Source organism: Homo sapiens, chromosome 4, assembly GCF_000001405.40.
Source record: "Homo sapiens chromosome 4, GRCh38.p14 Primary Assembly".
NCBI lineage: Eukaryota > Metazoa > Chordata > Mammalia > Primates > Hominidae > Homo > Homo sapiens.
The window spans coordinates 72318933-72334955 of record NC_000004.12 but is presented as its reverse complement, the minus strand read 5'-3'; the positions used below and the strand labels follow the sequence as shown (position 1 = coordinate 72334955).

Sequence of the window (16023 nt, the reverse complement as noted above, 5' to 3'; positions counted from 1 at the left end):
GGGAGAATAATCAGATGTCTTTCATCTGCTTTTTTTAACCTCTTTCTATTTTGTAGATCTTGACATTTCACCAAGCTTCCTATATGAAGAAGAAACACATGGATATGAACATATCCAAGGTTTTAATGTTTCAAATAAGAGATTTGTCATATATGTTAAGCCTTTCTTAGGATTCCATATCATATCTTGTTATATCAAGAAATGTTTATAGTTTTACTAACTTGTAACATGGTTGATTTACTGGGAAAGTGGTTCTCAGCTCTGGGGCATGTCTCATACTATAAATACTGACCCATCGTCTGCCATGTGCAAGGCCTATTTTAGGTATTGGCAATATTCCAATAAGCATGATAAAAATTGTTGACCCTCTTGGAGCTGGCCTGAATCCTCCACCAAGCTTCAAGAGAGTAGAGTTTTAAAATTTTTAATTTCCTGACCTGGTCCATAATTATCAACCCAAACCTCAACAGGAGCAGTCCTCTAATAGGTTGATTGTTCCTTGAGTGCAGTTACTGTATATTATTAAGCCTCATAATTATATCCAAAAGTGTCTGCCGTGTGGTAGACATGCAATAAAAATTTGATCGATTCAGTCTTTTAATAAGTATTTTAATGCTATATGCCAGGTATATGGTGGTTAACATAAAATAAGCTTATTTCCTGACCTCAGCGAGATTATAGACTGGTGGAGAAATCAAATAATTACATCATAGGTTACATAAGAACTATGCAAGGAACTGACAGTTTTCTGGGAAAGAGAATAACAGAGCAAATGGGTGATAGAGGTTATACATAGACATGATGATTAAGAAAACCTTCTTTCTCCTGTAATCCCAGCACTTTGGGAGGCCTAGGCGGGCAGATCACGAGGTCATGAAATTGAGACCATCCTGGCTAACACGGTGAAACCCCGTCTCTACTAAAAATACAAAAATTTAGCCAGGCGTGGTGGCAGGTGCCTGTAGTCCCAGCTACTCAGGAGGCTGAGGCAGGACAATGGTGTAAGTAAACCCTGGAGGCAGAGCTTGCAGTGAGCCTAGATCGCGCCACTGCACTCCAGCCTAGGCAACAGAGCAAGACTCCGTCTCAAAAAAAAAAAAAAAAAAAGCAAGCAAACAAACAAACAACAACAACAAAACAACAAAAAAGAAAACCTTCTTTCAGGAATTGATTATTAAATTGAGACTTAAAGTAAAAGATCCAGCCATTTAATAAGGGCATGCGTTTTAGTAACTAAAAGGTCATTGTGGCTCAAATTTAGTGTGTAAGGAGTCAGGCAGAGCTAGGAGAAGAAGGCAAGCATCTTTCAGGTCATAGGAGGAGCTTAAATGCAGTATTAAGTACAAAATAAAAGCCACTGAGGGTCGGTTCCTGCTTCTCTCGGCCTTGTAAAGAAAAATTGAAGAGGCCTAGGGACAATGAAGACAGACCCTACTGGAAAGTGGGTATAAATGTCTAGGCAAGAGAGGATGCTTTATTAGACAATGAGGATTGCAGTAATAATAGATAGTTTATGGTAAAATCAGTAGGATTTGCTATTGAATCCATGGGCTGAGGGAAAGAGATGAATCTACCATAATTTATACGTTTTTTTAGCTTGAACATTCTGTTTGTTAATGGTACCATTTATGTAGATGAGTTGGTCAATAAAAAAACAGATTATGGAGAATTAAGGTTGTTGATGAAATCTTTGAAGGTATTTGAAATCATCTAGTTTTGGGTCTAGATTCAAAATGAAGATTTAATGTTAATAGTGAAGGCTTACACTACTAACATTTTAGCTCTTTGCGCCTGAATCTCTGATAAATACTTTATGTACATTATTTAATACTTTCCAACTCTAAGATGCATTCAGCCTTAGTCCCAGTTTACAAATGAAGAGATTGAAGCTGAAAGAAGTTAGGTGATGTTCCCAGGGTCAGACAGTTAGTATGGCAGAGTCAGGACCTGAGCCCAGATCTATATCTGCCTTCTGAGCCTTAAGCTCTTCCTCCCCAAACTTCACTGCCTCTCATTACAAAGTTGAGGCATTTTATATATCTCTTGCTAGATAAAACTCTGATGTCTTTCCTTTATCTGTTTCTGTGTCTTGTTTGTACGATTCAAGTCATTGAAATGAGAATTCAGTTAGTTACCTGATTGAATCAAACTAGTTAGCAATCTAGTTTAAGATTCTAACAGGCTGATGAGGCAGATTTTTATGGTTAAGATGGTAGGTTGTTTTCGTTCAATGTACCAAATATTTTCCATCAGCAACACTCTGCTGTCTGTGACAGGTCAAAGGTATCTTTTTTTATTTGCTAAGATCTATGAAATGGTCTTCTGGGTCTAATGTGCCTTAACATTTTTAGGGCCCTGTAAATAGAATTTATGCCTTAATCTCAGGATTTATTAAATGATAAGAAAGCAGTTCATTTAAAAGAATGCCTCCCAGTACAAAGAAACAGTCTTGGACTTCTACGAAATTATAAATTATTGAGTGAATTCATCAGTTTCTTTGTATATTGAAATTAGCTACTTATGATGGACAGTGAACGAGCATAAATGTGTTATCTGAACAGGGCAGGCTTCCCTAACCAATATTTGTAAAGAAAATATAAACTCCACAGCCGTACCCTGGTCCTTAAAAAGTATTAATGGACTTATTCAAGAGTTAGCAGCAAATATATGTGGTTACTGGTTACTTAACGATGGTTATATCAATACACTGCTTTTGATTTTTTAACTTTTTTGAAAACATTGAATGTGAGTGCAATGCAGATTTATCTGGAAAGTATACATATTCATGCAACCTTAGCATATCATGTAGCAGTTTTCTGTTTTGAGTCATTATCTATAATCCGTTTCTTACATTTGAATTCACATCAATCCTCTAGGCATTTATTCACCTAGCATACATAACCTACCATAGGCAAAGTCCTGTTAGATTCTTGGGAGACAAAAATTAATAAAACATAGCACCTTTCTACAAGGAGCTAATTGTAGCAGGTAAAATAAACCAATCAACAAATGATAATAATAAAATGTGATAGAGATCTATAAAATATATTAATCTTCAAGGGATTCAGTTGCAAAGTACTATGTAAACATGAATTGAAAAAGAGAGGATATGGTTTGGCAAATAATGCCAGTGGCCAGTGAAATCTTCCTAAGACGACATGTCATTTGAGTTGGACTTTTTCAACTCAACTGGCATTTTCCTGCTAGAAAAAGGGGAGATAGGTCTTGGAAGATGGGGAACAGCTTGTAACAAGATACTAGAAGTATTAATTTATGGAGTCTTTGGAGACACTCTAGATTGGTCTGCATGGTAAAATTGAAAGGTATTTAGGGGAGATGGCAGATGAGGAGACTGGAAAGAGAAGCTGGGGCTAACTTTAGAAAATAATAAGTGCCATACTAAGTAGTTTGAATTTCATCTTGTCAAACAAGAGTCATAAAGGGTTTTTAAGATTAGTGACTTGATCAGTCCGTGTTTTAGAAAGAGATGCATTATTAGAATTATTTGGAGGAGAGAGACTCTGTTACACACTATGCTATGAACATGAACACATAGTTTCTAAGTTCATAGTGTCTGTCTGGGTCCAAACTCCTTGTTGTGTACACTATACTTCCCTACCTCAACAAGCTATCTTAATTTCCCCAATGTGGATTGAACATACCAGATCACAGAGACAGATTGCATCAAGCACAAGTCGATTCAGCCACCTTTTATAAAAACATACTCACCTTCCCAGGAATATCCTGACCTATCACTCTAGAAGCGAGTCCCCACATCACATGTTACCTTAACGTAACACAACATCCACACAGTATTGCTGACTAAGAGGTCCCTTCGATTTTTACTGAAGCGTCTCAGTTGCCTCTTCCTTTCCCCCTTTGCTTTTGCAGCCCCAAATTCCCTTCGTGAAATTCACACTTTCTTCTTTCTTAAGTTACAGATATCAGACTGACCTTATCCTTCCTTACTTTGTTACAACCTTTGTATTTTCCCAGGTTGTAAAACACAGAAAAAGTTTATAGATTCCTGTGCGAACCATCTTTCTCAATCTTGAGGAAAGGTAAACAGTTCTACCTGGGCTTTTGCTATGTGTCCATTGTTACAAAGGACACAAGAGTTTGTAGGACCTCACAGCTGACTGCCTATTCTTGGGCTTTCCAAAGCTCCTTTGATACTTAAATGAAGTAAGACATAATTCACATAAAAGGAAAGACTCATGTTTATTGAAAACAACCATCAACCCTTACAATCTTCCTTTCTGGAGAGCTACTCAAATGTGCCCAAATCACCTAAATACAAAATATTTGCAAAAGTTTTCACAAGTTATTGCAACAGTCTGCATGAGCTGGTTGGTTTACTAAGCTGCTTGGTGTGGAGGTGGACAGGTTTGACAGATGTCTGCGGTACTTGGTAGTAGAATGACTCTAATACTTGAAGAAGAAGGAATCAAGGATGATTTAGTCTGTAACTGGGATAAAATATTTAGAAAAGAAAAACAGGTTTTAGAGAGAAGATGGGTGTGCTGTGAGGTATCCAGGTATACTTCCAAATAGATAGTCCTGTTAGTAGAGTTGAACAGATGGCCCTCACACATGAGAGAGATGAATCACTGTTAGATACATAAAAGTTTGGGGCCAGGCATGGTGGCTCATTCATGCCTGCAATCCCAGCACTTTGGGAGGCCGAGGTGGGTGGGTTACCTGAGGTCAGGAGTTCGAGACCAGCCTGGCCAACATGGTGAAACCCCATGACTACCAAAAATACAAAAATTAGCCAGGTGTGGTGGTGTGCACCTGTAATCCCAGCTTCTCGGGAGGCTGAGGCAGAAGAATTGCTTGAACCCAGGAGGCAGAGGTTGCAGTGAGCCGAGATGATGCCATTGTACTCCAGCCTGGGCAACAAGAGTGAAACTCCATCTCAAAACAAACAAACAAAAAAACCAAACTTTGGAATTCATCAGCCTATAGATACTGGTTGAAGCAACAGCAGTGAAGAGAATATTGCAGGGGAAACATGTATCAGGAGAACAGTCAAAAAACAAACAAACAAACAAACCTTGAGCAACACTGACATGTAAAGGTTAGGCAGAGAAAGTAGAGCTGTAGAGCTAATCTTGCTAAAGAAACAGAATAGTGACATTGAAGAATATAATGGTAAACAGTACCAGATCCCACAGAACATCGTAGATCGTTTTTTTTTTTTTCATGAAAGAAAGTTGAGAATGTTACTAAGAGAAGAAAAGTAATTCCTAGGAAGGAAGCGATTAAACCAGCAGCATGGAGGGGATTTTTGGAGTGACTGTCTAGAGACTCAGGGCTTCCATCATGACAAAACAGCAACAACAGCAACAACAACAAAACACAACATAGAGCAAGGTATTTGCGAAAAGAGAACAAGCACTGATATCATATAGACTTGATAGCTTTGCTAATCATTTGAGGAAAACACTGTGTGTCCTCTCTTGGTCTCAGTCTCTTTATAAAGTAGCAATGACAATGTCTGTTCTCTATAGGATTCTGAGTTCTCTAATATATGTTGAGCTTTCGCACTTGCTCTTCCCTTTGCCTAGATTGCTTTTTCCCTAAACAGTCACACAATTATTCCTTCCTGTCCATGGTTCTCCCTTTCCTAACTACCCAATCTCAAATAGTACCCAATCCTTAACTCCTCTTGTCCTCCTCTATCTTGTCACTCATATATTTGTTTTCTTTATTACACCTATTCCCATTTCAAATGACATTGCCCGCATGTCTTTTTGCATTCATTTTTTTTCATGCTTATAGGCTGTTTTGCCCAATAGAGTCTATGCTTCATAAGAACAGAGACTCAAAGGTATTGACTATTCCATTCTCCACCCCCAGAACATTTGGGCACATAGCCACTGTTCAATAAATAGTTGATAAGAGTATATCACTAAACAGTAGTTATTATTAATATGAGAATGGAGATGAGGGAAGAGTTGGCAGATTGGGAGACACCTCTGTTTTCTGAGGAAAAGGAATACTGAGTATGGGGCTGAGAATACAAGCAGGTATGAGTTTGGAACTTTTACCTACGTAAGAGATAGTTGTGGACAGAGTAATACTTTTCTCAGTCCATTTCAGTATTCTTTTATATCTAGCCAGAATCACTCAGGCTATCTTGTTGATACTTGTTTACTTTCAGTTATACAAAAGTCTCTTTAAAAAAATTTTGTATATATGTGGTGTTTATTTGCTTCTATATGAATAATAGCAGTAATTACTGCTAATTTTTTTTTATATTTGCAAGGGCCAAGCATCAAGTACTGTACCTATATGAACTCATTTATTCCTTTCAACAATCCTATGAGGATAATACTGTAATTATCCCAGTTTACAGGTGAGGAAACTGAGGCACAGAGACAAATAACATGCCCAGCATCACACAACTAAGATTGAATCCAGGCAGTCTGACGCAGAGCTCATGCTCTCCACTGCTAAGCTATCCAGCCTCTCAAGACCTGATCCACCCATCTGAACAAAAAATGAGTGTTGCTTTGTTGAAGCCAGACAAAGCTGTTCATCAGCTAGTCAGACAAAGCAGGTCAGATTGTCCTGCCAGCGAAATGTCCTGGGAGAATTTGTCCTGTCCGGGAACAAACCTGGAAGGAATTTTCATTTCAAGGAAAGGAATACTTGATTTGATTTTACCTTTTCCTCCCTCACATCATTGACAAACTCTTCCAACATCAGGTCATCTGAAAATTGAATTAATGTTCTGTTTACCCCTTCTTTCAGGTAATTTAATAAAGACTCTAGGCTCAACCCTGAACACCTCACAGAAAATCTACCCATGGTCCAATAGGTTGGCTCACATGGTGAAAAGATACTCAGTGTTTTTTTGTAGATGTACTTTGGTTTGCATTATGCAGTGTCAAATACGTCACTTAGAATGTTTATGCTTACTGCTTTTCTTGCAACCCCAAACACTGGTTATACATTTCACCCTTTATTTCTTTTCTTATTTAATTTTTCTTCTCTAGCTCCTCTTTATTTCTTCTCAATATTTTCTGGAATACTGTTATACTGATCATCAATAAATCCTTATTTATATTCAGTTTAGAGCCTCGCTCCTCATTTTCTTAAAATTTACCTAAAGAAGATTATGAAAAGAAGCTGCAAATTTTACATTTTCTTTCTCAATATGTTTCCACACTATATTCTTAAACTCAAAGGTTGAGAATCACTATTGATGATTTTAAAACCACATCCTATGTATAACGACAGCATTGTGGCCTGCAGATCTGTGGAACTACAGCAAAATGGGTATAGCTATGACCCTGAAGTCAGACTGCTAATTTTCATCCCTTGCTCGTGTACTAATTGTACTTGGGCAAGTTACTTAACTTCTCTGGGCAATGAGAACATCTGTCCTCTATAGGATTCTGAGCTCTCTAATATATGTTGAGCTTTTGCACTTGTAAAATGGAGTTAATATCTCTAAAGTTATTTCAAGGATTAGTTGAATCAATATAGGTAAAGTGTTTAATGCAGTGTCTGGAAGCTGATAAGCTCTCTGTATTATTAGCTGTTCTTTTTTGTTGATTTTGCTTTTACTTCAGAAAAATTACTTTCCTTTTCACTAAAAGTTGTAAAATTACTTTCTTAATAAATAAGAATTATTTAGAATTATTAAGAATTTCCTAATAAGAATTTAGCCCATCTTGACAGATTCAAATTGTTAATTTAGTATGATATCCTTTTAGTTCTTTCTCTATATTATTTGAGTGTTAAAAACAGCCAGATCATGAGAATTTCCTTATGCCTATGTAATTTTGTAATCAGATGACATTTTAAAAAGTCTAAATAATGATTTTTTTCAATATTTTTCTTTGCTTTTAAGAGTCAAATGAGTAAGCATTTAAAACGTAGCATTTTTCTCAGGTTATAATATTTTACAATTCTTATTTAATTTCAAGGAGATTGTTTCATTTATGTGTAAATATAGGAAAACATTGACATACTGACTGGTATGTAAGCACATTCAGGTGTATGAAGCAGCTTGTCCTTTGCCCCTCTGAAGCATGCATACTGCCATCTGCTGGAAATAGCTTTTAAATGATTTTTCCCAGTAATTTTATTGATAATTTAAACTAGATGTTTCATTGAGATTGAGATTTAACAAATTTCAAATAGAAGAATCTTGAGGTCCCTTTCAGTAAAAACTGTGATTAAGGCAATTGTTTTTCTTGAACTTTTCAGGTAGATTATGAAAATACACTCACAATTTTTTTTTTAAACTTTGTGCATGGATGGGGGATAGGAGCTCAAGTACTTTGTATTTTGCCGAGTATAGTTGTATGATCTTGCTTGTTTTGAGCAACAACACTGTGAAACAGACAAAGCAAGTAAAAGTAGAGTTTGTCAACAAGAAAATCGAGACTCAGGTTAAATGACCAACCGAAGGTCACTCAGTTTATCCGTGGCCAAACTGGGAACAGAACCCAGGGTTTTGAATATCTAATAATATGGTGCCATATTATTTCTCCAGCTCTTATCATACTCCATGTGTTTCACAATATAAAAACACTACATCTCAGGAATTGATAGGGCCTGGCAAGATGAAAAGCAGTCAAATTATTAAGTATATTTTGGAAGTGAATAATATGGAGGAACTTTTTTAAGCCTTGAAAATCAAAATAATAAGATACAGTGCTTTGTACAGTACAGACAGCTGGTTATTTGCCACATTGAAATAATACTTTGTGCTATGCAAAAATATTATTCCCTTGTATTAGATTATTTCTACCTATAATAATTTATGTATACTTTGTGAATCTCAAAATGTGTGCTGACTCAGAACATTCTTAAACTGATTTTGGTTTCTACTGGGTCACCCTGTTTTCTAATTAGCCTGGCATAATAGTGACTTTTGTTAAGTAATACTTTTATTTTGGTGAATGGTAAATCTGAATTTTAAAAATGCTCTTTTATTCATTTTATAATATCCTATTTGCTATTGAGATTAATAATTTTGTCCATTGTACTTTCTTGACACTGTGTTAATTTTATAATTCACTAAGTACAAATGAATTTACTAATTTAGGATGATTATATGTGCATTTTATACTAACTCAAATATCACAAGCTATTTGTCATTATTCCCATCTTTCCTTCATTTTATTATTCTAAGACTTTCTGTTGTAGGAGCTTCCTATAGCATTGATGTATTACATATGTTACAGTATAGCTGTCACTGTTATATGCATTGGCTGTAAGTGCCTCCTACTCTTCCTTACTTCTCCTTCTCCAGAAATTAATTCACTTTTTCTGTTTCCGTTTCTTTAGTTTTGTTTTATTGTTATCTAGTTTTATTTACTAACATTGCTTTCAACCTTATTTTAACACAAAGTGCATTTTACATCTCAACTTCATTGAACTAAATACATGTTATAACTTGGTGTGCAAAGCCATGTTTCTAATTTGAAACAGCTGCCTTACAAGAAGCCTCTTGGGATAGACATGAGTCTCTGAATGAATGTGTTGGTGACAGGCCTGGTTGTTGACTTTTAACTTTTATTGCAACTATAAAGTTAGGAATATGTTATCAGATAATGAATCCAGAACAGGAGGGTGGAAGATTTGATTCACTTTTCAACTAGGCAGCATGAAGTGTGGCATAAGATAAGAGAATCAGCCCATGACTAAAAAGCCCATAAGAAACAACAGCTTTTTGTCTAACATTGACTTTTTCTTTATATTGAGCTGAAATTTACCCCTTTAATAATGTGAATGGTTTTAAGTTTTATTTTCTATAGATATATACAATGAATCAAACCCCTTTTCCATATGAAGGCTATTAATTCTTGTTTTTCTTTTCCATTTCTCATACTCTAATATCCTTAAAAAACCCTTTCCTCCCTCTCACTTATAAAATTTTTTAGCGATTTGTTTGCATGAGTTAACTCTCTTAATTCTCACCCTAACCCTATGAGATATTATTTTTATTATGTCCATTTTATTGAGACTCAGAAAAATAAAGGTCTCACAAGCAGTGAGGGGTTGAACCAGGATTTATCTGAGACTATTAATGTGTGACATTCAGGCTTTTAACCATTATGTATCCCCAACCCTTCTTTATAAGACACATTTTCTGGCCTCCTTGCTGTTAGCTCTTCTCAGGATATATTCATGTTTTGTCAAGCACCTCTGTCATAAGACAGCCCAGAAAAATGCACTCAATACTTCAGGTTTTCTGTAGCCTAGAGTGGGACAACTTGTGCATGAGCTATCTGCCTGCACACTTATGCAATCCAAGATTGTATTGCAGATTTTTTTTCACAGCTTGGCTTATCTCGTACAGGTATTAAATTGGGTCTTACCATTCTATGTATGTGAGTACATGTGTGTGTGCATGTGCATGTGTATATATGTATAAATGTATGTGTGTATACATGCATTTTTCCACTTAAAAGGACTTCACATCTTTTCAAGTTATACTTTGTTATCTCTAGTATATTCTAGCTTAGCCAGATTTTTTACTTCCACCTTTGCTGTTCTTTTCTTGTTTGTGACTTCTACAAATTCAGTAAGTATGCTTTCAGTCTACATTCAAGACCCTGATTTTTTTAAAGGTGTTCTGTGCAGTCACGTTGGATTCTTGAAACAATTCAATTGAGACTTCTTGGTCTTTTTCTTGGTTAGTGTGGCAAATCAAAATACTATGATTTGTGAATTTCTTGTTTTAGAGCATTCTTCAATCATTCTTGAGTTATATTTATTTTTAAAGCCACTCGCTATGAGATTATGCCTGTCTTTTCTGTGCAGCTTTCAGGTTGCTGTGTCTACTGTTCAAATCTCCTGGATCTGAAGCTGAGTTGCAGTTAGTTTTTCATCCCTCTTTTAGTCTTTTTAACAAGTGTCGAGTCTTCATTCTAAGAACTTTGCATTCTAGCCTGGTAACTCCACCTTTCTCCTTCCTGCTAGCATTTTTTATTTGCACTAATTTTGCACTAGGTTAATGAGAAGATACAGTTACAGTCCACTTCAGATTCATATCTGCCAGTAGCTCACTCTGTGTTTTGCATGTCAGATAATTTCTACAGGCTTTATTTTCTTCATCTGTATAAAACAGAATTGGACTATGACCTCTGAGGTTGCACTTATTCCAACATCTATGATTTTAAAGTATACCAAGTCACTTTTAGAAATTTCAGCCTAATTTTTTAAAATTAAATAAAAAGCAGTGACTCAAATTTGCTCTTCTGAGTTGCATCCAGGGCTGACATTCATCTGACAGGTACTCGTACAGTCTCCTTAGTAACTTAAATATTGGAGGATTTCTATCTTGTAGGACTTTCAAGCAGTCATTGCCTCACCTGCCCCACCTGCTAGCTGGCCCTCAGATACACTACCACAGCTCCTGCACACAGACCCCATAGCCATTGGCTCTCTCAACCAGACGTAGCACCCCTGGTTGTCACACAGGCACCCCAGTAAGCAAATGCTTGCTGTTTTCCTTTACTGTGGTTGCAGGCAACTCACAGGCTAGCAGATGATTTGCCAAAGTTACCCTCCTGTGGTTGCTTTTGGCTAATGTTATATTTGGATTACATCACACATAGACTCCTTCTAACACTGCACTAGTATAACAAAGCCCTTTTGAGCATGTCCTGTACGTTCATATTACTGTGGAGTTTACAAAATTAGCAATTTACATATCCACACATTGTACCAAAGCTAAAAGTAAATGACTACCTTTCAGAGTTCAGCTATTAAACTCAATTTAAAAACAGCAATTTACTCACCTATTTGTGGTGATTACACAGCTTATATGTACATCTCATGAAATCCTCGGTGTTTCCTTTCTTTTAGCAATTATCTTTTTTTGTTGCTAGGTGAATGAAATTTACCATGATGAGTCCCTCGGAGTGCATATAAATGTGGTCCTGGTGCGCATGATAATGCTGGGATATGCAAAGGTAAAATGTCTTAAAACATGAATTATAAACATTAGGGACTGGGTTAGCAAATAGAAGACTAAATTGTTCAAGCTACATCTAACTTAAGGCATAGATATATTCCATATAAACCCCTAGTTGCTTGAAATTGAGGAGAAGAAACTGCCACATGAGTGGAGACTTCCAAATTTGAGCAGATTATGAATGATTTTTGTGCAGCTGCCACTTGCTTATTTATTTCTGTCTAAAGAGGTAGATAATTACCCTGACTTTAGGTGTGACTTATGAATGGAAATGAATGGATACTATTATGAGGAGAGAGAATTTCCTTAGCCTATTGTTATCATCGAGTGTGTGTTTCATTTATTCATTAGAAGGGATTATATTGAATGCCTACTAAGTGCCAGACATTTTCTAGGTGCTTGGAATATATAATGAAGAAAAAAGACAAAGATCTTTGTCTTCTCTTGATTCGCTAAAAACAATATTTTATATACATATATCTTTCCACTTAAGAGGAAGGTGCAGAGTGAATATTTTTCATTTAAAAGAGCTTTAATTTTTTCAAAAGCAAAGAGTTGGATAAAAATGCACATAGTAGGCATTTCATGTAATATAATTGAGTTTAGCTCCTTTAAGGAGGAAACATACAGGAAACGACTAGCCTGACAACTTTCTTGATGTTTAAAATTACACATCTCTCTCCCATAGTTAATCCTCCTGATTATGAAATATTAACGAAGTTGTACATTTAGGAAATAGGAAAAATCCATGTGTTTGCATTTCATTATACAGTTAACATCCACTTATCATTTTATAATGATAGAGTGTCATCAATCTATTTTATATTGCCAACAAGGAATATGAATTAACTCCAGCTGGAAATAACAGCCTCCAATTGGTTGTTAAAGCATTTGTTTGGAAAAGTATGTGATCCGTATATTAAAAAAGGAAACTGATTTTATTAAGAATGTAAACACTGGTAATAACATTTGCTGAACTATAACAAAATTCGCCTGTCAGTCAAATAGGGACTAATTTTTGGTTCCAAGTTCAAATTTTCATTTCATCAGAACTACTCTGAGAAGTGTGGCTAGTGAGTTCTTGAAGGTTGGGCCCTTTTCCCCCCTGAACTTTTAACTCCTGACCCTAATGTGATGGTAGCAACATTCAAAGAACTTATTTTCTTATATCAGAACTGGAAGAGTCCACCCCTCTTCAGTAGCATGAAGTTAAAAAAAAAATGGGAGTTTTTGTTTTTGTTTTTTAGTGTAAAGTTAATATAATTTGATGGTTCTCCATAGACTAAGATTTCATCAGCCTTGTCAACTCATGGAAGAATTCATATTCTCCCCACATGTTGATTAATTCTGGATCGTAAAAAATAAACAAAAATCTTAACTAAGATTTTATACCTTCACATCTCTGGAAAAACATGCCAGAATCTTTCTCAATGTTTTTGTTCTTAATTCTATGAAACTGAAATCTAAGCCAAATCAGAAATTATTTAGACTACTAAAATTATTACCTAAATGATTAATGTTAAGTTGCCTCACAATAGCAAATCTCAGTATCAAACATTCCCATGCTTTGGGAGGCTGAGGCAGGAAGATCATTTGAGGTCAGGAGTTTGTGACCAGCCTGGCCAACATGGTGAAACCCCATCTCTACTAAAAATACAAAAAAAAACAAAAAAAAAGCCAGGAATGGTGGTGGGCGCCTGTAATCCCAGCTACTCAGGAGGCTGAGGCATGAGAATTGCTTGAACCCGAGAGGCAGAGGTTGCAGTGAGTCCAGATGGTGCCACTGCACTTCAGCCTGGGTGAGAGAGTGAGATTCTGTCTCAAACAAAACAAAACCATTCTCATAAATGGTATAATTTGACTTTCCCACAGGTAAAATTGTGAGATTCTGTCTCAAATATAACAAAACCATTCTCATAAATGGTATCATTTGACTTTCACACAGGTAAAATTGATTATTATTAAAATATCCTTCATGGGCATTTAGAAGTCACAAATCAAAGCAAATATCAGAATAAGCCCCAAATATTATTGAATCATTGTTTAAATACTTTAATCCCAAATTCAGCTTCAGAGGAAATTATCAAACGAAGCCTTTGGGAAATTGTCAGGTGTGTCTTTAACATATTGTTTTCACTTAGTCCATCAGCCTCATAGAAAGGGGAAACCCATCCAGAAGCTTGGAGAATGTGTGTCGCTGGGCGTCCCAACAGCAAAGATCTGATCTCAACCACTCTGAACACCATGACCATGCAATTTTTTTAACCAGGCAAGACTTTGGACCTGCTGGAATGCAAGGTATTGCTGTCAATATGTAGAAGAAATACTTGAGGGCATGACTTTTAAAAAGTAATCCTAAATCAGGCAGTCTGTTCAAATGTTCTGCTCTCCACCACTGCTTTCCACCACACACCGGCCAAGCATACATTTTCTTTCTTTTGCTTACAGTGACTTATGTGGAGTTCTCAATGTTAAATGCCACTTAAATACCATCGTAAATTATACTTGCTTTTAAAATAGTGATTGTGCATTTGGGGCATGGAGGGGGTGCTGTAAAATGCAGTGTGATTTCCACTAACTGTTTGGAATGAGAAAAGAGATGCCATGAGAAATGACTGCTGCCAAAGAGCTTTCTTCCAAAGTCAGCTTACATTTATCTAATAAATTCTGATGTGGACTTTGGAAGAAGGAGACTGATGATTTTCTTTTTAACATTGATGGAATTTCTGGCTTCCTTCATCAGTACCACGATATGAAGGACCATTTACTAAAACAGAAAGGCAGGGCTTAGCTGGTGGGCAGAAGAAAATGGTAACCCCAGGCCATTCCTTCCCTTAGGAAAGGAGAAAATGCAGACCCAGTGAACCTTTTTAGAGAACATTACCTGTGGCTTTCCCAAGAGAATGTGACACAATGCTAGTAGGGAAATAATGCTACCCCTGTTTCCTGAAAGGCTTTTACTTTTTTCCCCCTAGGCAAAAGTCCAGTTGTAATTCTTAATGGGTTTTCTCATAAAATGAAAATAAAAGTAATTGTTATTCTCTACAGGATATGCTCCAGTCACCGGCATGTGTCATCCAGTGAGAAGTTGTACCCTGAATCATGAGGATGGTTTTTCATCTGCTTTTGTAGTAGCCCATGAAACGGGCCATGTGTAAGTCACTGCTGACAGCTATAAAGCCAAAAAAAGATCTTTTCTTTCCTGCTTCTCCCAGTATTGTTTCCTCTTTGGGCAGAATGCATGCCAGCATACAATTCTTGTCTTTTGCCAAGTGTGAAGAGCTGCAAACAGAGAAGAGGTCATGCACGGAAACTAAATGAGTGACTGGCTTGCAGAGGCACTCCTGTGGTTTTCAGAGCTATAGAATAAGAAAGGCATTTCTGTCAGATTGCTGTCAATTTCCGTTTCTGTGACTTCTTCAAGAAAGCCACGTTGACTCAAAAATACGTTATTTCCCAGGGCTTATTTTCAAAACCAAAATTAAGTGAAGGCAGTAGCCCCTGATTCTTACCACTGAGGTCTCTTTGTGTTCTAGGTTGGGAATGGAGCATGATGGACAAGGCAACAGGTGTGGTGATGAGACTGCTATGGGAAGTGTCATGGCTCCCTTGGTACAAGCAGCATTCCATCGTTACCACTGGTCCCGATGCAGTGGTCAAGAACTGAAAAGATATATCCAGTATGTCCCCTGCTGCATGTCATGAAAGTATTTATTTTATAGCCTACAGACATGAAACTGACTCTTAGGACTTGATCATAGCAAAATTCCCAGTAAATGAAAACTATTACTGATAAACATTTTCTTATGACTTAGAACATTCAGCACAAAAATTTTATCATGGAGTCACAATACTTGAAGCCATAAGTCTAGAATATAAGTAAACTTTTAACTGTAATGTAATTTTCCTTTAGTAAATTGTTATCGAATCTTTGATTAATGGTCAAACTTGAGGATGGGGGGAGGATGGTCATGTGGTTTCTGCATATGATACGAGCTGTGCTCTACAGTATAGGTGTCAGGATGTGCCCTACCACACCATGTGGTGGTTTAATTAGTGACTCAAATAATCGTGGCTCT

At 36.5% G+C, this 16023-nt stretch overlaps 1 protein-coding gene across 3 annotated transcripts in view; it reads left to right on the top strand.

Moving 5' to 3' along the window:
• ADAMTS3 (ADAM metallopeptidase with thrombospondin type 1 motif 3) overlaps positions 1-16023 on the top strand; it is a 288253-nt gene that overhangs the window by 234266 nt on the left and 37964 nt on the right. For all 3 annotated transcript variants that reach the window (NM_014243.3, XM_011532422.4, XM_011532421.2), the window contains exons 6-9: positions 11859-11942; positions 14086-14242; positions 14993-15098; positions 15481-15624. In NM_014243.3, the coding sequence (NP_055058.2) occupies positions 11859-11942; positions 14086-14242; positions 14993-15098; positions 15481-15624 (491 nt within the window). The remainder of the gene's footprint in view (positions 1-11858; positions 11943-14085; positions 14243-14992; positions 15099-15480; positions 15625-16023) is intronic.